The 22,457-nt window shown below is 39.9% G+C and overlaps 1 protein-coding gene across 3 annotated transcripts in view, besides 2 other annotated features; it reads left to right on the top strand.

Annotated features, from left to right (window-relative positions):
- Positions 1–21,900, top strand: part of ZRANB3 (zinc finger RANBP2-type containing 3) — a 334,250-nt gene extending 312,350 nt beyond the window's left edge. For all 3 annotated transcript variants that reach the window (NM_032143.4, NM_001286569.1, NM_001286568.2), the window contains 5 exons: positions 1,262–1,404; positions 9,891–10,001; positions 11,033–11,435; positions 15,906–16,037; positions 18,429–21,900. In NM_032143.4, the coding sequence (NP_115519.2) occupies positions 1,262–1,404; positions 9,891–10,001; positions 11,033–11,435; positions 15,906–16,037; positions 18,429–18,527 (888 nt within the window). In that variant the 3' untranslated portion in view covers positions 18,528–21,900. The remainder of the gene's footprint in view (positions 1–1,261; positions 1,405–9,890; positions 10,002–11,032; positions 11,436–15,905; positions 16,038–18,428) is intronic.
- Positions 5,641–6,165: an enhancer, noted in NCBI's record as "OCT4-NANOG hESC enhancer chr2:135970274-135970798 (GRCh37/hg19 assembly coordinates)". NCBI's record gives its function as "activates a minimal SCP1, AML or CMV promoter by ChIP-STARR-seq in naive H9 embryonic stem cells {active_cell/tissue: H9 hESC(naive)}" and the evidence as "EXISTENCE:reporter gene assay evidence [ECO:0000049][PMID:30033119]".
- Positions 5,796–6,090: a silencer, noted in NCBI's record as "tiled region #426; HepG2 Repressive non-DNase unmatched - State 16:ElonW". NCBI's record gives its function as "represses a minimal TATA promoter and a strong SV40 promoter by Sharpr-MPRA in HepG2 cells {active_cell/tissue: HepG2}" and the evidence as "EXISTENCE:reporter gene assay evidence [ECO:0000049][PMID:27701403]".
- Positions 21,901–22,457: the final 557 nt, after the last annotated feature.

The raw sequence follows: 22,457 nt of genomic DNA, 5'->3' as shown, positions 1-22,457 counted from the left end.
ATCACACCTACAGTTGCTGTTTCTGTGGATAGAATCATCCTCACATTATTTAATTTCTCATTCACACTATTAGCAACTGTGATATTTGTATCTGCTAGAATCACATTTTTTCTATTAAGGTTAAGTTCTAACAATGACAAATTCCCAGAGCAGAGATAATACCTTATTGGGTGATTCTTGATTCATTATCAGAAGCACTAGCATGCAGCTTCAGGCCAAGTTCCTGCCAGGGAGGTCTTAACACTGATCTGTGGCTGATTTTCCTTCACTGCCAAGAAGGGTCATCATGCGCAGGGACTAACCTAGCATGCTGTGTGCTATTTTTACAAGAAAATGGTGATTTTTTTTTTTTTACCATTTGAGTGGAAATGAAGCATTGCCCGTAGGTCAACTATACCTGTTTTAAATGAAAAGGGAGCAGTAAGCTATTTACTTGGAATCATCTAACCCTGATTCTCAGAGTCCCAGAAAATAGCCAGTTGTGTATACTTGACTGGTAACCCTACTAAAAATGTCCCAGATTTATTGATGTTTTTTTTCCTGTGAAAACGTAGGCATCATTTACGAAGCAATTCTCAGATGTTGCACTATCATTCTGTCACCCAGTTTTGCCTTGACCCCAGCTAGGGTATGTACTTCCAGACCTTTTTTGGTCTCAATGAGCATATTATCACTGTTGATCTATGTGTGTTAAGGGCATACACTGCATGTCCTGAAACATGCCTTTAGAGAATCTTTGGCTTGAAAAAGATCTCTTGGCTGGGTGAGATGGCTCACACCTGTAATGCCAACACTTTGGGGGCTGAGGCAGGAGGATCACTTTGGCCCAGGAGTTTAAGACGAGCCTGGGCAACATAGTGAGACCCTGTCACTACAGAAAATAGAAAAACTAGCCAGGTATGGTGGCATGTGCCTGTAGTCCCAGCTACTCAGGAGACTAAGGCAGCAGGAGGACTGCTGGAGCCCAGGAGGTCAAGGCTGCAGTAAGCCGTGATCATGCCACTGCACTCCAGCCTGGACAACAGAGCAAGACCCTATCAAAAAGAAAAAAAAGAGATATCTCTTGAGAACTGCTGTAGGTAGTTTACAATAAAGATATGAAAACTGCATCAAATTGAAGAAAGCCTTAGGTTATGGAACTCAAAAGCCTATTTGGGGGACATAACAAAATAGCAGTTTTCTGATGTTGTAAATAGGCTCACATTCAAAGGAAGATATCTGCCTGTGAGCTGTTAACTCTTATTATCTCATTTTCTGCCAGATTTTGAGATTTGTTCGAGAATGGAGTAGTCTAACTGCCATGAAGCAAAGGATAATCAGGAAAAGTGGACAGCTATTCTGTAGCCCAATTCTTGCTTTGGAAGAGATCACAAAGCAACAAACCAAACAAAATTGCACCAAAAGGTATGAGTTGTCTTTTTTTAAATTTTGTATTATATTACTTTTCATGGTTCTTTCTACAGGGGGGTCTGAGGCATCTTTTGGAACCACTAATGAAATCCTGATGAGTTATGAGAAAATTATGCATAAAATCACAGCCATATTGTTTCATAACAAGATAATTATATGTCTAGTGAATTTGACAAAATCTGCTAAAAGAGATCAGGTTGTCCAGATCTTACTCTCCATGAGTCCCATCAATCAACAAAAAGACCAGAGTCACAGGATGGTGCAACCTATGACCTGCCAAGCCTGGGACACTTATTAGCAGCAGGAATACATTTTACTCTTAGAACATCAGAGCATGCCTCTGGACCCCATCTGCTTTGCCCTGCTGTGCGTGAGTATGATGCTGTGCAGCAAGGGAGCTGGTTCTATTTGAATGCATCACCACCCAAGTAATGGAAGATAACTATAATCATGTCCATGATTGGAAATGAAATAAAAGGAAAGGTTGACCGTCAGATATTTGTGACTGTTTTGTCCTTATCATTACAGGTTCCTTTCTAATCTCTGTACATTGATTTCCTTCCTTGTCATCACAATCATCTTTATCCCACTCAAGTCTCCCCATGTGTGATCTCAAATCCCTGTTCTTTGTAAACTCTTTTCTTAGCATGAAGCAAGGATTATCAGGAAAAGTGATCAGCTGTTTTGTAGCCCAATCCTTGCTTTTGAAAGAGATTGCAGGCTGCGCGCGGTGGCTCATGCCTGTAATCCCAACACTTTGGGAGGCCAAGGCGGGTAGATTGCATGAGCCCAGGAGTTCAATGATCAGCCTGGGAAACACAGGGAGACCCTGTTTCTATAAAAAAAAAAAAAAAAAATTAGCCAGGTGGCACACTCCTATAGTTCTAGCTACTTGGGAGGCTGAGGCCGGAGGATCGCTTCAGCCTGGGAGGTTGAGGCTGCAGTGAACTGAGATTGTACCACTGTGCTCCAGCCTGGGCAACAGAGTAAGACCCTGTCTGAAACAAAACAAAACAAAACAGATGGCAAAGCAATAAACCAAATGGCAGCATTGGCAGAGAAAGCCCTTTAGCTCTTGCTGCCTCCATACACCTGTAATCTCTCTTCATCCTTATATTTCATCAGTTTATCAGAGAGGTTTCCTTTCTCTAGCTTTTTCCATGCACACAGGTGAAAAAAATCCAGGGGGTTGGAGGGGAGCAAGGGACCGAGAACATGGTTGATTAAATAAATTATGATAGTTCCATACAGCGAAAATCTTTTCCACTGTTTCAACATATGGCATATGGTACATTTATTTGTTTGTAAGAACAAGGAATAATACTTGTGATAAATTGTTAAGGGTAAATATAAATTGTAAAAAAAAAAAAAGGGATGGAGACACAAACTTCACTATTTGCACAACTTGCTATTACTGACATAGAAATTGTCTAGAAGGATACCTTAGAAATTCTTATCACGGGTTTCTCTTGGACAGTGGTTTTCAATTTGGAGCAATTTGGTCCCGTAGGATGGTAGTGTCTGGAGACATTTTAAATTGTCTCAAGTAAGGGATGTGACTAGGGGGTATCTAGTGGGTAGAGGCCCAGGATGCTGCTGAGAATCCTACAGTGAACAGGATTGCACCCCCCAAAACAGAATTATCCATTTCAAAATGTCTGTATTACCACTGTTGAGAAATCTTGCTCTAGGGCATAAAACTTGAGGATTTCTGGAGGTAGTAGGGACTTTACACTTTATGCCAGGATTACAAACTCATTTGACTAAAAACAAAACAAGAATCACAAATGAATGAATGAGGTCAGTTATAAAACTAAAAAAGGATGAGATATGGGCTGAGACTATGTCAAACTGGCAGATTTGGAACCCATCTGAAGTCATTCAAATTCAGATTTAAAAATAAAATACTGGTACATGGTGGCTCACGCCTGTAATTCCAGAACTTTGGGAGGCCAAGGAGGACAGACTGCTTGAGCCCAGAGCTGAAGACCAGCCTGGGCAACATGGCAAAACCTCATCTCTACAAAAAACAGATAAATTAGCCAGGCATGGTGGTGCCTGTAGTCCCAGCTACTTTGGAGACTGAGGTGGGAGGATCACCTGAGCCCCTGGAGGTCGAGGCTGCAGTGACCCATGATTGTGCCACTGCAGTTCAGCCTGGGAGACAGAGTGAGACCTTGTCTCAGAAATAAAATAAAATAAAACAAAACAAAAATTAAATTAATAAAATAAAAAAATACTGGCTAGCCATGGTGGCTCACACCTGTAATCCTAGCACTTTGGAAAGCCAAGGTGGAAAGATCACTTGAGGTCAAGAGCTTGAGACGAGACTGGTCAACATAGCGAGACTGTATCTCCACAAAACCCCAAAAAAATAGCCAGGTATGGTGGCTCACGCCCACAGGCCCAAATATTCGGGAGGCTGAGGCAGGAGGATCACCTGAGCCCAGGAGGTCAAGGCTGCGATAAGCTGTGATCGTGCCACTGCACTCCAGCCTGGGTGATCAAGCAAGACCCTGTCTCAAAATGAATAAATAAATGTAAAATGTTGTATGAGTACAGTAAATTAATGCTGTATGAGTACAGTAAAGTCCTTTGACTAATTGAATTTATCCATAAGTTGCCAGTTTGGGACTCTTAGCCTGAACTCTTCTGTAACAGTTGATTTTTTTCCCATGGGCGTGTGTCATTTTCTATAAAAATACATTTAAAATATATGTGTTACATATTTATATACATATATACACATACTTACACATAAGTGCACACACGCACACATATATCAAAAAGCACAATGCCTATTTTATTTTTCCCAAAACTTCCAGTCCTCTCAATCTTTCTCATTTTTGTAACCAGTCTTTGTTGACCTTCTCTTTCTCACATGATCATAATTCTTTTCATAACTGAATTTCTAGCTATTTCTGGACATGTCCTACTATTTCTTCTCCATCGGACATGGATGACCACTTAAAGTACCAACTGAGAAAGGTGACTGATCAGATTTAAAAGCAAAAGTCAATTCATAAAACCAAAGTCAGACACAATATTATTTATAAAATTATATATACATAATATATTAAGGATATAACTTGTGTTAACAAGCAGCAGATTAATCAGATTTGTATTTTTAAGAGCTAGCTCTAGCAGCAGTTGGGAGATTAGATCAAAAAGGGCAAGACTCAAAGTGGGGAGATAAGTTACATTTTTCTATCGCTGCCATAACAAATTACCACAAATTTAGCAGCTTAAAACAACACACATTTATTATCTCACAGTTCTATAAGTAAGAAGTCCAAGTTGGCTATTACTAGTTTTCTAGTAATGCTCTGGATTTTACAAGGCAGAAATCAAAGTGTTGGCTGGCTGGGCTCTAGTTGATAAGCTTGGAAAGGAATTCACCTCCAAGCTCACTAACATTGTTGGCAGAACTCAGTTCCTTGCAGTTGTAGGACTGAGGTTCCTGTTTTTTGCTGGCTGTCGGCTGGACCATCAGCTCCTAGAGGCCTCTCTGTGGTCCTAGCACATGGACCACTACATCTTTCTCCTTGGAATCTCTCTGCCTTCGTCTTCTGCTTTTAAGGGCTCAAGTGATTACATTGGGCCCACTCAGTAATCTCCCTATCTTAAAGTGAGCTGATTAGTAATCTAATTATATCTGTAAAGTCCTTTTATAGCATTATCTAAATTAGTGATTGATTAAATAACGGAGGGACAGGAATCCTAGAGGGTATCTTAAAATTCTGCCTACTACACAAGTTAAAAGACTATTCTAGTATACCTGGAGAAAAACGATGAGGATCTGTATTAAGTTATTACAATGGGAATCAGGAAAGAGAATGAAGAGAGCTCTTAAGGAGGTATATCTAGAGACTTGGTGACTGATTATAGAGAGGCAGAGAGAGAGAGGCCTCCAGGGAAACCAACTTAGCAGCATCATGAAATGAAACCTCTGTACCTGCAGCAGGGAGATACTATCGGGAAGCATTCTGATTCTTGCTGCAGAACCCAAGTTAAGTCTCAGTAATTTGGAATAACCATGTATCTCTGAAAGCAAATGTGAAATATGCTGTTGAACAACAGCATTGACTGGCAGTCTGTATAAGGATCAGTTAGACACTGTCCTATCAATTTACTTTCTAGAGAAACTGAATCAGAGAGTCTCCAGACTTAGAAACATCAGGCTCAGTAGAGATAAAGAGTGAGGTATTATATTGAAAACTGAAACTCCTCGGACCCCCTTTTTTGCACAGCTTTCAGATTGACAGCAGCGACATTTTACTTCCTAAGCAGGACGTTAGAGGATTTCTCTCTTAAAAGTACTGAATGGTTCTGAAAAAAGACCTATAGTTAACTGACTTTGGGCACTCCCCCAGAAACATTGATAAAGGTCTCCAACCAGATTATCCGCCAGTGATGTCCAACAGTTTGCAGGCCCCATCCAAGCTCAGAGCTTGCAGTCAGCTTTTGAATGTCTCACTTTTACATTTGAATGGTAGCCAAGATTACCAGCCACTGTTTTGGTTACTGAGTCCCATTTATCAGAGGCAGGCCTAATTCACTTGGAGCCCTGTCATGTTTAGGATGCCAATTGTTTAATCTCTGGTTACAGCTGAGCTCAAAAGCAGGTCAGAAATCCAGAGCCCAAGATTGTGTTCATTGATGTGGGCCACTTTGCAACGTACACTTTTCTTGCAAAAATTGCCATCTTCCACTCCCGTCCCTATCCAGGAATTTGTTTAGTAGACAACATTCTCCCTTCTCTATTTACTAAAATTGGGATTTACCATAATCCTTTTGGGAGTTGGTGAACTTCCTAGCAAACCTCAGTAGAAAATTAAGTATCGGCAACTTGCAACTACGTTTGAAAAGTTGTCAGCTCCGTTTTTTGGAATTTGTTCGTCTGTTTCTTGTGGTTTCCAAAAATTTATTCTTAAACCTCTTGTAGGAAAGCAAAAGGTTATTTTTAGTTTCTAAATCTCTGACTAGATTTCTCAGCATCTTTTAGTTACTGAATTAGGTTTTTAAGCTTTTAAACATTGAATAATACCTCAGGCAAGGCTTAATATCCCATTGCCCCTCAAAGCTAGGAAGCTTTTGAGTTCATTTAGAATTCACAGAAATACTTTCCCAAAGTGCATTTTTCAAGGGAATAAAATGGTTGAAGAAATTGTTGGAGGTGGGGCCAGAGAAGGAGGAAATTTGGGAACTAAAAGGGCAAGTAAAAGAACTCTAAAACAATTTACTGTGCTTTAACTACGACTACTGCCCAGACTGGAGCACGATGGCTTAATTTCCTTTTTGCTCTAAGAAAGACATGCAAGTAGAGTGCAAACATGTGAAAAGATATTCCCCCTTACTCTTAATAGGAATGCAAATTTTAAAATCTATGATGAGATGCCTATCACTATTAGCAGAGACTCTTAAAAATGACATTGTGCTAGTGAAAGAGAAGAAACAGATACTCTTATTCATTGCTGGTGGATACATACACTGGTATAACCTTAGAGGAAAGAAATTTGTCAAAATCTACCCACATTTAAAACACCTAAGACCTTTGACCAAGGAATTCTACTTCTGGGGATTTATTCTATAGATACATAATGTGTAGAAAACATCATATATAACGATATCTATTACAGCATTGTTTGTGATAGCAAAGAATGAAAACAACCTAAATGTCCATTTATGAGAGACTGGTTAAATATATGGTTTATCCATATAATGGAATAACATGGAGCCATTAAAAAGAATAGGGAAACTATGATAATAAGGAAAGATCTCTGAGAAGCATGTTTTGGTAAAAAGAGCAAGGTGAAGATTAGTGTATATGCTATGCTATTATTTATTTCTAAAAATAAAAGGTATAATGAAAAATGAGTGCTAGTGGGTACGGGTTTCTTTTTGTTTTGTTTTTGTTTGAGACAGGGTCTCAATCTGTTGCTCAGGTTGCAGTGCAGTGGCGGGATCTCAGCTCACTGCAACCTCTGCCTCCCGGATTCAAGTGATTCTCCTGCCCCTGCCTCCCAGGTAGCTGGGACTGCAGGTGCGCACCACCACGCCCAGCTAATTTTTATATTTTTAGTAGAGACAGGGTTTCACCATGTTGGCCAGTCTGGTCTCGAACTTCTGACCTCAAATGATCCACCCGCCTTGGCCTCTCAAAGTGCCGGGATTACATGCATGAGCCACCGCACCCAGCCTCAGGTTTCTTTTTGGAGTGATGAAAATATTCTGGAATTAGTGATGATGGTTGTACAGCCTTGTGAATATACTGTTAATGCACTTAATTGTAAACTTTAAATTGGTGAATTTTATGCTCTGTGAATGATATGTCAATGGAAATGCAAAAGTAAGTAAATAAAAGGCATACACCTATACTCAGAAAAAAATAAGCTATTTCTTATTTTATTTTTCTTTCTTTCTTTTTTTTGAGACAGAGTCTCTCTCTGTCACCCAGGCTGGAGTGCAGTGGCGCAATCTCAGTTCACTGCACCCTCCATCTTCCTGGTTCAAGCGGTTCTCCTGCCTCAGCCTCCTGAGTAGCTGAGATTACAGACACACACCACTATGCCCAGATAATTTTTGTACTTTTAGTAGAGACAGGGTTTCACCATGTGAATGTGTGAAAAGATATTCCCCCTTACTCTTAATAGGAATGCGAATTTTAAAATCTATGATGAGATACCTATCACTATTAGCAGACTAATATGTTGGCCAGGCTGGTCTCGAACTCCTGACCTCAGGAGACCCACCCATCTTGGCCTCCCAAAGTGCTGGGATTACAGATATGAGCCACCATGCCAGGCCAAAAATAAACTATTTCTAAAATGAGCCAGACACGGTGGCTCACACCTGTAATTCCAGCACTTGGGGAGGCTGAGACAGGCGGATCAATTGAGGCCAGTTCGAGACCAGCCTGGCCAACATGGCAAATTCCCATCTCTACTAAAAATACAATAATTGGCCAAGCATGGTGGTGCGTGCTCGTAATCCCAGCTACGGGAGGCTGAGGCATGAGAATAGCTTGAACCAGAAGGCGGAGGTTGCAATGAGCTGAGATAGTGTCATTGCACTCCAGCCTGGGCAACAGAGTGAGACCCTGTCTCAAAAAATAAAATAAAATAAAATAAAATAAAATGAATTAATCAGCATTTCTGCAAAGATGAATTAGCATGTCTCTGAGAGATAGGGAAATACACTATTTCTCTAATGATATCCAGGGTTCCTAAAAGATCTTTTGGTCTAATTGGTGAGGGACGTATTGTACACATCCCAGGGATGTCAGTCAGACTCCAGTTACTGCTGTCTCAGTGTGATGGCTTCCAGAAGACATGCAATAAAATGACTCAAGATCATTTTGAGTCAAAATAAAATAAAAACAAAACTGCCAACAGAGGTAACTTTTGGGGAGGGGAAAAAGGAAGATGGGAGTGAGAGAGAAAATTTCTCATCACCATAAACATGCTTGTTTGCCTTTTGAATTTAGAACCATGTGCTTATATCACCTAATCAAAAATTAATAAAATAGTTTATTAAAAAAGGAAACCTGTTTATTATTAAATCTATCCTAATAACATAAAGCAAATTTCTAAAATTTTACCTACGATTGCACAATTCCATTGTGATTGAACTTTAATTTTATTGTCAAGCTGCCTAATTAAGAAGCACTCAATAATATTAAGAAATTCATGTTTAAACTAATTTCCAAAAAAATCTACAATAGGTGTAAACCACCAGAGAAACTAGGCCAATTAATAAGAAGGAATTAATCAGGTAATTGCATTTTACCAACTTAAATTCCCCCATCACCTTTAATGGGAATAACTTCTCTTTACTTCTAGTCCCTGAACATTGTGTGGTATTGTTAGTGTTGGGTAATAAGGTTCTGAATCCCATATCAAGAGTGGCTTTATTTCTGTGGAAGAATCCATAAACCCTGTATGGGCTGATAATAAGGGGAACAACCTTGAGATTACAGAAGATGTGATTGAACCTGGTTAACTAAAAAGAAACTCAGTTTACCCAAACACTGATACACTATTATAACTGACTAAGGTGATTTGGAGAAGCCTTGAAGGGAAGGCCAAGAGGGAGGTAAAATACAGTTAGAGATTTTCTGCACAGCTTGCCAAGCAGTTTCCTTAAGGCTGTCAGTTGTGCGTGTATTTGATCATTTCTTATTCTCACACCGACTCCTTTTTCCCCTAAATGAAAATTGCTCCAAAGGATATTGAATGACTCTTGAATTTCTTAGAAAAAGAAATTTGAGAAAACTAATTTGGAACAAAGAGATGTATTTCTCACATAATGGACACCAAGATAAAGGGTAAAAATTCCATTTTCTAACTTGAGTTTCAGCACAGTTAATAGAATTGTGCTTGCTTTTTCTTCTATTGCTTTTGCAAGGAACAATGTAAACATGCAATAGAGACATTTTTATATGAGATAGAGGGAATCTATTTAACATATCATTGTTTTAGATACATAACCAAAGAAGATGTTGCCGTAGCCTCAATGGACAAAGTGAAGAATGTTGGGGGCCATGTCCGTCTGATCACAAAGGAGTCCAGGCCACGGGATCCTTTCACAAAGTAAGGTTTTTCTACTACTAGTATATAGTAGTACTAATTCCACTCCTTTACATTTATGTATTGATTTTCATAATAATATCTCACCTTTGCATGACCACTTTAGAGGTTACAAAGAACTTTCACAAGATAGTAGCTCTTCAGTTGTCCTAGCAACCTGTTGAGGTACCTGGTGTCCTCATTTTAAACATTAGAGATGAAGAAGGACACTGAGACCAGGTGGACTAAGTAACCTGCCCCAGGGCTTGCGGGTAGAGGCCAGGAGACCTGAGGTTAAATCTGGGCTCTGTCCCCGAATCTTGAGCTCCATAATTAGAAGTCTTTCTTTTAACTCTTCTAACAAACAACCATGGAAAACAGACAAAGCAGCTGTTGTTACTTCCCAAGTAGGACTTTCTAACAAAATTGAGTAGTGTACCTTTTCTTTTATTCTAACAAATTGAGCACATATCCTATCATGTTTTGTATCCTATCATGTTTAATTTCATCCACTCTGCGTTTACCTATAAGAGCAAGTCTTCTGTTCTAATTCCTATCAGCACTGTCAGCTATTTCACTCTGTCACTTTATGGCTGTGACTCTATTTCCTGTGAGCTAGCAGAGGCTGGAGGAGAGAGTTTGTAATTACCTCTCTGAGCTAATGAGGTGTGTGACCACATATATTTAAGGAGCAGGGTAGCCACTAAGCTTTGGTTGGGGTTTTACATTAGCCTGTCCTTTCCCAGCCTGAAGAAGCATTTTCTAACAGCTTCTCCAGATGTTTCACATGTTTCCAGATCGTTTAACACAAGGGCATCCCCTTGTGTTAATTCCCAAGAGAGGCAACATATTTATATTCAATTAATTTTTGTAACACACCATTCTTCTTTACTTGGCATGGAATATAGAGTGCTGACTGTAACTATTTTATTTCTACACTGTGATCTGTGTTTACTATTTATCCGTATTGAAACTTTGATAACCTTTATATGAAGCAATTACTATTTAGCCTAATCATTCATTAGTTACCTATTCAGTGTTTTTATCAATTGTAGAAAACTTCTTGAAGATGGAGCCTGTGTCCCATTTCTAAATCCATACACAGTCCAGGCAGATCTCACTGTGAAGCCCTCTACATCCAAAGGCTATTTGCAAGCTGTGGATAATGAAGGAAATCCACTTTGCCTTCGCTGTCAGCAACCCACTTGCCAGACTAAGCAAGCATGTAAAGCGAACTCTTGGGATTCACGGTTTTGCTCTCTGAAATGTCAGGAAGAGTTTTGGATTCGATCTAATAACAGTTACCTGAGAGCCAAAGTATTTGAAACTGAACATGGTGTGTGTCAGCTCTGTAATGTGAACGCACAAGAACTCTTTTTACGTCTGAGAGATGCCCCTAAAAGTCAGAGGAAGAATCTTCTGTATGCTACCTGGACTTCAAAGCTCCCATTAGAACAGGTAAGTTATAATCATGTGATAGATAGAAGGCAGCATTGTACTGAGTAATGAATATTGACTCTCTATTTTGTACATTTTAACATGGGAATATTCAGATATATAAAAGGAAAGAAAATAATGGACCCATATGTCCATCAGCCAGCTTTAACAGTTTACAGCATTTTGGCATTCATTTTCATCTGTCATTGACTCACTTGTTTGTTTCTCCTAGAATATTTTATTTATTTATTTATTTATTTATTATTTATTTATTTATTTATTTATTTTGGAGACAGAGTTTCGCCCTTGTCACCCAGGCTGGAGTGCAGTGGCGCAATCTCAACTCACTGCAACCTCTGCCACCTGGGTTCAAGCGATACTCATGCCTCAGCCTCCTGGGTAGCTGGAATTACAGGCATGTGCCACCACACCTGGCTAATTTTTGTATTTTCAGTAGAGACGGGATTTCACCATATTGGCCAGGCTGGTTTTGAACCCCTGACCTCAGGTGATCCACCCGCCTCAGCCTCCCAAAGTGCTGGGATTACAGGCATGAGCCATCATGCCCGGCCATCTCCTAGATTATTTTAAAGAAAATTCCAAACGTTTCTTTTCACTCTTGAATATTTTCATTCTGTATCTCTCACAGGTAAAGACCTCCTTCCTTCCTTCTATCCTTCTTTTCCTCTCCCTCCCCTGTTCCCCCCTCCCTCTTCCCCTTTCTCTCTCTCTCCCTTCCTTCCTCCCTTCCTTCCTTTTCTCCTTTCCTCCTTCCCTCTTTGCTTGTCCTCATTTCCTTTCCTCTCTTTCTTTTAAATATAATCCCAGTATGAGTTATCACACCCAACACAATTACAATTCCTTAATTATACTAAGTCTATGTTTGGTTTCCCAGGTTGTCTCAAAAATGCCTTTTGCTGGGCTCAGTGGCTCACACCTGTAATCCCAACACTTTGGGAGGCCAAGGCAGGTGTATCACCTGAGGTCAGGAGTTCGAGACCAGCCTGGCCAATATGGAGAAACCCCATCTCTACTAAAAGTATAAAAAATTAGCCAGGCGTGGTGGCAAGCACCTGTAATCCCAACTACTCGGGAGCTGAGGCAGAAGAATCGCTTGAACCTGAGAAGCAGAGGTTGCAGTGAGCCAAGATCATGCCACTGCACTCCAGCTTGGGCAACAGAGCAAGACTCTGTCTCCAAAAAAAAAAAAAAGTATTTTATAGTTACTTTGTTCAAATTAGAATCAAAATGTCACCCACATAGTATATTTGATTATAATGCCTCTTATGCTTCATTTAATCTATTATAGCACCCCATTCCTTTTTTATACTATCATACTATCAATGGTTGAATATACTGGATCATTTGCCATTCTGGATTTGTCTTCCTGTATCTGCAAGGTATTGTTTGACATGTTCTTCTGTTCCCCCAATTTTCTCAGTAAGAATTGTAAGATCTAGAGGCTTAGTTTCATTCTCATTCAGTTATTTTGGGAAAAGATCTTAACAGGTGGTGCAGTATATCAAGAGGCACCTATGGTCTGGCGATTCCCCTTTCCATGTTAATATTGAAAGACAAGAGGCAAACAGATAACCCAGAAATGTAGTCCATCACAATCAGAGGCTATGTATGTGTATATACACTCACACACATATATGTGTTCATTGCATTGAAAAATGTAATTTTAATACAACAAATTATGACAAATTATTATTTATAGAACACTATCATCAATATTCACTTTCATTTCCAAAATTCAACTGGATTTCTAATCTTGCTATCTGAACAATTCTAAATTTCAAACTAGGCCAGGCGTTGGCTCATACCTGTAATCCCAGTACTTGGAGAGGCCAAGGCGGGAGGATTGCTTGAGCCAAGAGTTACCAGCCTGAGCAATATAGTGGAACCCCATTTCTACAAAAGAAAAAAACCAGAACAATTAGCCGGGTATGGTAGCATGCACCTGTAGTCCCAGCTAGTGGAACCCCATTTCTACAAAAGAAAAAAAACCTGAAAAATTAGCCAGGTGTGGTAGCATGCACCTGTAGTCCCAGCTACTTGGTTGGCTGAGATAGGAGGATTGCTTGAGTCCAGAAGGTCAAGGCTGCAGTGAGCTGTGATGGTGCCACTGCACTCCAGCCTGGGCAACAGAGCGAGACCGTATCTCTAAATAAAATGTAATTTTGTAATGTGCTTAATTTAAAAAGAATCACCCCTCAGCCACTGTGTGCCCACTAAAATATTGGATGAATTCCTGCCAGTTTGACAAATTATATATTTTTATTTACCTAGGACAGTGTTGCTGAATTATGAAAGAATGAATTAATCGGCATTTCTGCAAAGATGAATTAGCATGTCTCTGAGAGATAGGGAAATACACTATTTCTCTAATGATATCCAGAGTTCCTGAAAGATCTTTTGGTCTCATTGGCGAGGGACATATTGTACACATCCCAGGGATGTCAGTCAGACTCCAGTTACTGCTGTTTCAGCATGATGGCTTCCAGAAGACATGCAACAAAATGACTCAAGGTCATTGAAAGCAACCTGTCCAGGAATGCAGAAGTAATATAATAGACATCTAAAACAAAAGTGCTCTGAGAATAAGGAACACAATAGGCTCGAATTGGGTAGGACTAGAGAGTGATTTTATATGTATATATAATGTATATATATAAGTATATATAATATATATATAAATATATAATATAAATATATATTTATAATAATATATAATAAAACATATAATATATATTATTGTATATATTTTTATATTTTATATATATATATGTATATATATATATTTTTTTTTTTTGAGATTGGGTCTGGGATCTCACTGTGTTTCCCAGGATGATCTTGAACTCCTGGCTCCTGGGCCAAGTGATCCTCCTGCCTCAGCCTCCCAAACATCTGGGATTACAGGCATGCACTACCACATCAAGTGATTCCTTCAAGAGGTGGGCAAATTTAGGATATTGAAGAGTGGCCTCAAGTGATTTGCCTTACAATTGCTTGGAAAAACTAAAGAAGCATCTTCTGAATTATTGAGTCTGTCAGAGTGGGGGCTGCTCAGAGAGAAGGAATTGGTTTAAAAAGGCAAAACCAAAATGGATTTTTTTTTCCCTAAGACTATGCCATTTGCTTGATGCACAAGACCGCCATTTGTAGTAGCTTCTAACAATGCCAACCTCAAAAACAAAAATCAATACATTTCTTCTAACAGAAGTTGGGAAGTTCAGCACAGAAGAGAAGGTAAGGCAGGCAGTAACAAAGGTCAGCTGGACAAAGTTTACTGCTCCAACTTGTTGCCTCTTGTGACTCCTCATGGGCCAGCACTATTGATCAGGTCATTGTGCCTGACAGGCTTGCTTAAACAGGCTTTATACATAATCATGGGTTCCCATGGCCAGCAGCCGTGAAGTTGAAGGAAATAAAAGCAAGTGCCATACTCATCTTTGTGATATTTAGACAACTGCATTGCCGTGGTGTGAGTTGGTTTTACTACCTCAGGTAAAATGATAAAATACATCCCATTTTAATGTAGGTTATCATTGATTAAATATAAAATGTGTATATATGGACTGGCCTAAATAAAGGCTACTTTAAATGGTCATCTTTAATTATTCCAAATATGCAAGTTACAGATATTTGTTCTAGAAATTTCATTCCAGTTCACATAACTTGGAAAGTTCTCTGGTGAATAGTATAAAAGTTCTAGGTAATAGCTATTGACATTAAACTGCCATTGTATAGTGACAAAAGCATTTAGGTCAACAATTAAAGATTGTTTGACTCAGTAGTATTGAGAAGTTTTAAATTTCTTTTTTTTTTTTTTTTTTTTTGAGACCGAGTCTGTCACCCAGGCTGGAGTGCAGTGGTGCAATCTCTGCTCACTGCAAGCTCCACCTCCCGGGTTCACGCCATTCTCCTGCCTCAGCCTCCGCAGTAGCTGGGACTACAGACACCTGCCACCGTGCCTGGCTAATTTTTTGTATTTTTAGTAGAGACGGGGTTTCACCGTGTTAGCCAGGATTGTCTCGATCTCCTGACCTAGTGATCCGCCTGCCCTGGCCTCCCAAAGTGCTGGGATTACAGGCATGAGCCACTGTGCCTGGCTGAGAAGTTTTAAATTTCTAATCTATTCTTATTCTTTTCTTAGATTTGGTTTAGTGAATATATAAACTAACTTACAGGTGTAGAAAAACCAGTTTTTCCCAATCTGTCAGGAGTCTTGGTATTTTATATTTTCTTGTAATTTTTTCAAAATGAGTTAGGTTAAGGGAGAAAAAAACCTTTCAGAAACACATCTTATTGCTTTCAAACTTCTAACAGAGGGTTTTTTCTACTCACAATAAAAGCTATAAAAAGCTCTCCTGATGTATTTTTCCCCATGATTTTCCTGTATAAACATACATGATTGCACAATGCAAAACCAACAAACACTTCTTGCAGTATATGTTGAAAATTGCTGATCTTGTATTCTTATTGCAGCTAAATGAAATGATAAGAAACCCAGGGGAAGGACATTTCTGGCAGGTGGATCACATCAAGCCAGTGTATGGGGGAGGAGGACAGTGTTCCCTGGACAACCTGCAGACTCTCTGCACAGTCTGTCACAAAGAGGTCAGTGAAGCTCTCATATAGCTTTGACTGCATCCTGAGAAGTCAAATGGAAAATTGTGCACACAGTTGTGGAAGATTATGTGGATGAATTTATCTCTGGTCTGAGATTCGAGGCACATTTTACTCCTTTCATCACCCAACACTTGCCTTTCCTCTCAAGGCCCGTGTCACAGATGCAAGAGAAGCTGCTTCCCTTTTCATTCATTCTAGGACCAAGACATTTGCACCACTACCAAGAAAGAAATGAATACAGTTTACATATTGTCTTGATGAGACCCGGATCCTCAAACTGGAAGTTTGGTGAATTGGGGCAGTGATACATGTTTGCATATAACTAAGGATATCCTGAAATATCTGAAAACATTGATAAGTTATCTCTAGGACCAACTCAGTTCAACATGCAAAGGTTTCATTGCTGGCCAAAGTATGAAACCAATTAACTCTGCCCCATCTTTGGGTAGTTAGTTACCTGTTGCTTAGAATGAGAGGAAAAAACACATACTATTGTTTATCTACCAGGATGAATTTTTTACAGGCAGTCCAGTAAAAGGTAGTGGGATTTACCTGCTGAGATCATCATAGAAATATTCAATATGCAACTTTGTATTCAACTTTTTTTCACTTACAGCAAGATCTAAGCATTTCTCATGTACTCTAACCATTCATAACTTATATCATCTAAAATGACTGCATAATACAGTATTCTATTGAGCAGATCTCTACTGTAGTTTACTTAACCATTCCCATACTGATTAATATTTATCTAAATTTTTTTGCTTTTATATATCATGCCACCAAGCACATTTTTTGTAAACAAACCTGTTTTCTACATTTTGAGGTCATTCCTTAAGGTAGATTCTCATGTGTAAAAATCACGGAGTCACAAGTATTTGGATATTTTTGACAATGTAGGAATTTATCACCAAACTGTTTTCCAAAGAATTTTACTCATTTATGGCCCCAGAAGCCCATTTAACTGCCACTGGGTATGGTCAGTGGGTGCCAATGTGGTGCAGGGAGAATGGCCTGCAATTGTTTTGTTTGCTAAAGACATCGATGTTTTTAAAAGATGCTAATCAGTTATATTTAAACTTTTGAGTACTATTTCAGATCCTTTGCCAATGTTTATAAAGTATGAACTCTTTACTACTTTTTTTTTTTTTTTTTGAGACAGAGTCTTGCTCTGTCACCCAGGCTGGAGTGTGATGGTGTGATCTCAGCATGATCTCGGCTCACTGCAACCTCTGCCTCCCGGGTTCAAGCTGATTCTCCTACCTCAGCCTCCTGAGTAGCTAGGATTACAGGCACCCGCCACCACACCTGGCTGATTTTTGTATTTTTAGTAGAGACGGGGTTTCACCATGTTGTCCAGGCTGCTCTCAAACTCCTGACCTCAGGTGATCTACCTGCCTTGGCCTTTCAAAGCGTTGGGATTACAGGTGTGAGCCACCGCCCTCCACCGTAAGCTTCTCTTCTGTCCTTACTGTTTCCGCCTGGAACACCTCACATGGACTTCAATTGGGAAAAAAAAGTCATCTGATTTCTCAGATGTGCAAGTTATTAGCAAATTCAAGACCTATAAGAGAATTAAGAAATAGCCAAAGAAAATGCAGCCCTTTCTGTAATTATTTTTTTAGATTCTCATGAAAAATGTTATTTGTGGGATTAGCAGAAGAATCCAGTTCTGGTCTATGTCATTTTATTTTCTGCACCAGCTCATCTGTTGAGTTGGAAATGGCCTCTGGGATCAGAGAATAGGAAGTGGGTAGATTTTCTTCGCTGGGTAATCCCAAGTTGCCTTAAGAACTCCCACTTGGGGAGGCTGAGGTGGATGGATCACTTGAGGTCAGGAGTTCGAGACCAGCCTGGCCAACATGGCAAAACCCCGTCTCCACTAAAAATACAAAAATTAGCTGGGTGTGGTGGCAGGTGCCTATAATTCCAGCTACTCTGGAGGCTGAGGCTGGAGAATTGCTTGAACCTGTGGGGCGGAGGTTGCAGTGAGCCGAGATCACATCACTTCACTTCAGCCTCGGCAAAAGAACAAAACTCCATCTCAAAAAAAAAAAAAAAAAAAACCTCCCACTTGGATGGGAGAATCAGGGCCTTCCTAGTCTCCAAATGAGGAATTCATGCTGTTGCTGGGTAGCAAGACATCCCCCAAGTTGTATGTTTTCTCCTGCTATGTTGGTCCTATGAACCTAGGACCTCAGGATCTCAGAGCTGCTGAGATACTCTGCCTTGTGGTTTGGTAACTCTTCCATAGCCAACCACTGGAAAATGGGTGTAGTGACTGTAGATTTTCCAAACTAACAATATAAAGAGTTTTTGAGCTTTTGTAGCCGGTGCTTTTTTCCTAACGTGTACACATGCATATTTTTTAACTTTTAGAGAACTGCCAGACAAGCTAAGGAAAGAAGCCAGGTGAGAAGACAATCTCTAGCATCAAAGCATGGATCAGACATCACACGATTTTTGGTAAAGAAGTAAAGTAGAAAAATATATGAATGAATGACAAATGGTTTACATGTGGAAGACTTTAATACAGAAGTTTTCCATGTTTGTTTAATATATCGAGAGTAAAAATTTTCAGAACAAAAATCAAGAATTCAAATTCTCTTCTACTAATTACTTTTAGTATTAAATACATTTTGAAAGTACTTAACAGAAACTAAGATACAATACTGAATATTTCTGTGGTCTTTTTGATTTGATTCAGACTCGCAATTATGTTTCAGCAATGTTTTGTAAAGCTCTTTACCCCTAATATGCCTAATCACTGTATTGTGCATAGATTGTGTTTAAAAAATGTACTCTCAATTACCTAAAAATGCTTCTGGATTAGTATTGTTCTGGACTGTCATAGGTATGAGTGGAACATTGCAAAACCTTATGGGAAATTTCAGACGCAAATCATTATTTGGGAATTCTGGGCCAAGCATGACCAGCCTGCTTAGGATTCAAGAGAGACTGTCCACTAAATACCTCCAGAATGAGCTAGGGGCACACATTTTGGGTGTTGCTTTTCTTGCTTTATTTCTTAGCTAGTCATCTTTATCAAAAATATCCTTTTCAAAATGAGGTACCTATGGTGTTTGTGGACAATTTGGGGGTTCTGTGTAAAGTAATTGTTAAAACTATTAAATAACTGAAAACATAAAATGTAAAATGCCACTTAAGCTTGATTTTTTAGATCTTTTTTTAAAAAATGAATAAAACTAGGCTTACTGTTGGCTGGGCGCGGTGGCTCACGCATGTAATCCCAGCACTTTGGGAGGCCAAAGCGGGTGGATCATGAGGTCAGGAGATAGATCGAGACCATCCTGGCTAATACGGTGAAACCCCATCTCTACTAAAAATACAAAAAATTAGCCGGGCATGGTGTTGTGCACGTGTAATCTCAGATACTCGGGAGGCTGAGGCAGGAGAATTGCTTGAACCCGGGAAGCAGAGGTTGCAGTGAGCCGAGATCACGCCATTGAACTCCAGCCTGGGCGACAGAGCGAGACTCCGTCTCAAACAAACAAACAAACAAAAAAAAAAACTAAGCGTACTATCAAAATACACTTTGTCTTCTGGTTCTCATTTTCTGTTTTTAAAACCCTGTGTTATTAAAGGTATGTTTCTGGTACTTATTTTAAAAAGAGTGATGATGACAAAACACTTTATAATAAGGCATAATCAGATGGTTATATGCATTTAAATATACAATAATAACATTAAAATGTAATTGACATAAAATAAGAGTGACGATGAAACAAACCCAGGGCCTAGTCCTGCAATATGTCAGAATCATGAGGGCAAAGAGTCAGAACTATACAAAATACAGGACCGAGGAAGAATTACATTCCCAAAAGGGAGCTGTTTGTAAATACTATTAGGACATATACCTCTTTAGTTTGAGCATTTTCCCACGTTAATTAATAGCTAGTGTTTTACAACATAAAGGACTTGTTTTTAGAAAGATTATACAATCAAAGATTATACAACCACAGTTGTTCCTCAGTTTCTATTTCATTGTATGAGATCAAGTCATGTTGGTTATTTTATAAATGAAGTTGGGCTTTCTTTGGCCTCCTTTCTGCTTAGTTGGTCAGGTGCTCTTTGCAGTTTTCTGCCTCATTTCCAAGGTAACCTAGGATTTGTCACGGTTGAGAGCCAAGAAGCAGGCACGCTGCCTTTCCTCCAGCATGGGGTTTTGCAAGCGAGGTCTAAGTAGGTCAAATTTGAGGGGAACTTGCTCTTCAGATCACACTAAGGTGATAATTCTAAGGAGAAAGTTCTCAGATGTAAGAACTGTGTGATGGTTTGAGGTGAAACAATCCATGAAGATAGGCTCAGTCTATACCAGGTTTCAGAATTCTGACTAATTAAAAATGCCGTAAGGAGCATTGAGCATTTGCTGTACAGGACACTGACTGGCCCGTCCCCATCCCTTCCTGACATGTCTCAGAGCTTTGTGTCCTGCCTTCCCCTAATTTGGTCTGCATTACTTGTGGGGCACATTGAGATGAAGGGTTCTGAGACAGAAAATAAAGATAGAGATTGATCTAATAACCGAGACCGAAAGGGCATCTTGAGGACTGTTCTTTCCTCCTCACAATCTGAAACAGAAGCTCCCCACTATGTATTGCAAATGGGAGGTTATGACAGAGGGACACAGAAAGTGTCAGAGCAAGTGGCAGATCCTGAGTGCAGAAGGAAGTGCAGATGCCCCAGGAAGAAGACAGCTGCTGCCACTCAGGAGATGGAGATGGAGTGAAAACACAGGTGGGTACAATGAGTGTAAAAGGATAGGCCTGGCTCTGAAAAGACTCAGAGAAGCTGCAAGATACAGTTTAGGCTAAGAAAACAACAACAAAAAAGGGCTCTGGCCAGGTATGATGGCACTTGCTTGTAGTCCTAGCTACACAGGAGGCTGAGGTAGGAGGGTCACTTAAGCCCAGGGGTTCATGACCAGCCTGGGTAACACAGCAAGGCCCCATCTCAAAAAAGAAAAAAGGCTCTGGGTCCAGGGAACAGAGCTGGGAAGTGGTAGGTGACGAAGGAACTCGCTTACGATAGGGAACCATATGAAAATATGCCTGTGGGTAGGGGTAGGGTGGGGAGGACTTCCGGAGCATGGTGGGCTCACACACTCAAACCTTGCACAGCCAGCATCAGGCTGGCCTGCCTTCCTGTTCCCGTCACTGGGTGACATTGATCCCAGACACATTCTGATGACTAGTAAAGTTGCTTTTAGTAGCCCCAGAGCCAGGAGGAATAATTCATATGGAATTTTTAAAGACGCCCACTCTTGGCGTTAATTACAGCCCAACGTACATTTCTTGGGGAGATTTTCCTGTGACAAGTGAATACCCTCTACATTTTCTTAACTGGATGGGAAAAGGATTTTATGCCCATACATCTTGCTAATAAACCAAATCCCTTCTTCAGATTCTTGAGTGAAACATTTAAAATGTAGTTTCTTTAGAAATAAAAGTATGAGGCATTTTAAATTATATGACAGACAAAAAAGTCAATGCTCTTGAGCTCTTTACAGTAAATAGGTTGTGTTTACTCATAGGATACAGAATCATGGATATCAAACATCAAAAATAAATTATAAAAATAATGTCTCATTTTCTGTTGCATATTATTAGCCTGTCTCTCATTCCACCATTTGTTCTTTTGAACTGGAAAATTGTGGGCTCCTAGTCACTGCACTAATCTATCTGAATATCCAACTACCAGAAAGGGTTTATCCCATCTCAAGTTTGTCAGTTGCTTTATATCGTTAAGGGTGTTTTTGCCACCCTGGTTGTGTTCATAATTACCATTGAGAAATGTCACTGTTATTAAAATACATTCTGTGTTCCAACTACCTGCCTCTCTGCCCTAGCAGTTTCTCTCTTACCTCCCTCAAATCATTGACTAGGGTCTTTCCAGCAGTAGCTTCTAGCTATTTTCTGGAAACTGGCCTCTGGTACACCTTAAAAATATTGTTAATTATTCCATATTTGCTAAAGTGTTTATATTTCATGGTCTCTCTGCTCTAACACATCTGCCTTCCCTGCAACTAGATGTCATCATTAGATTGGAGAGCCGCCAAACACCTAAACTATATGAAGCTAAAGTCTGTTTAAGAAAGAGCCCATCCAGGCTGGGTGTGGTGGCTCATGCCTGTAATCCCAGAACTTTGGGGGGCCAAGGTGGGTGGATCATGAGGTCAGGAGATCGAGACCATCCTGGCTAACATGGTGAAACCCCGTCTCTACTAAAAATACGAAAAAATAATTAGCCGGGCGTGGTGGCGGGTTCCTGTAGTCCCAGCTACTCAGGAGGCTGAGGCAGGAGAATGGCATGAACCCAGGAGGTGGAGCTTGCAGTGAGCCGCGATTGCACCACTGCACTCCAGCCTGGGCGACAGAGCAAGACTCT

This window comes from Homo sapiens, chromosome 2 (assembly GCF_000001405.40).
Source record: "Homo sapiens chromosome 2, GRCh38.p14 Primary Assembly".
Classification (NCBI taxonomy): domain Eukaryota; kingdom Metazoa; phylum Chordata; class Mammalia; order Primates; family Hominidae; genus Homo; species Homo sapiens.
This window is presented reverse-complemented; position numbering and strand designations above follow the sequence as displayed.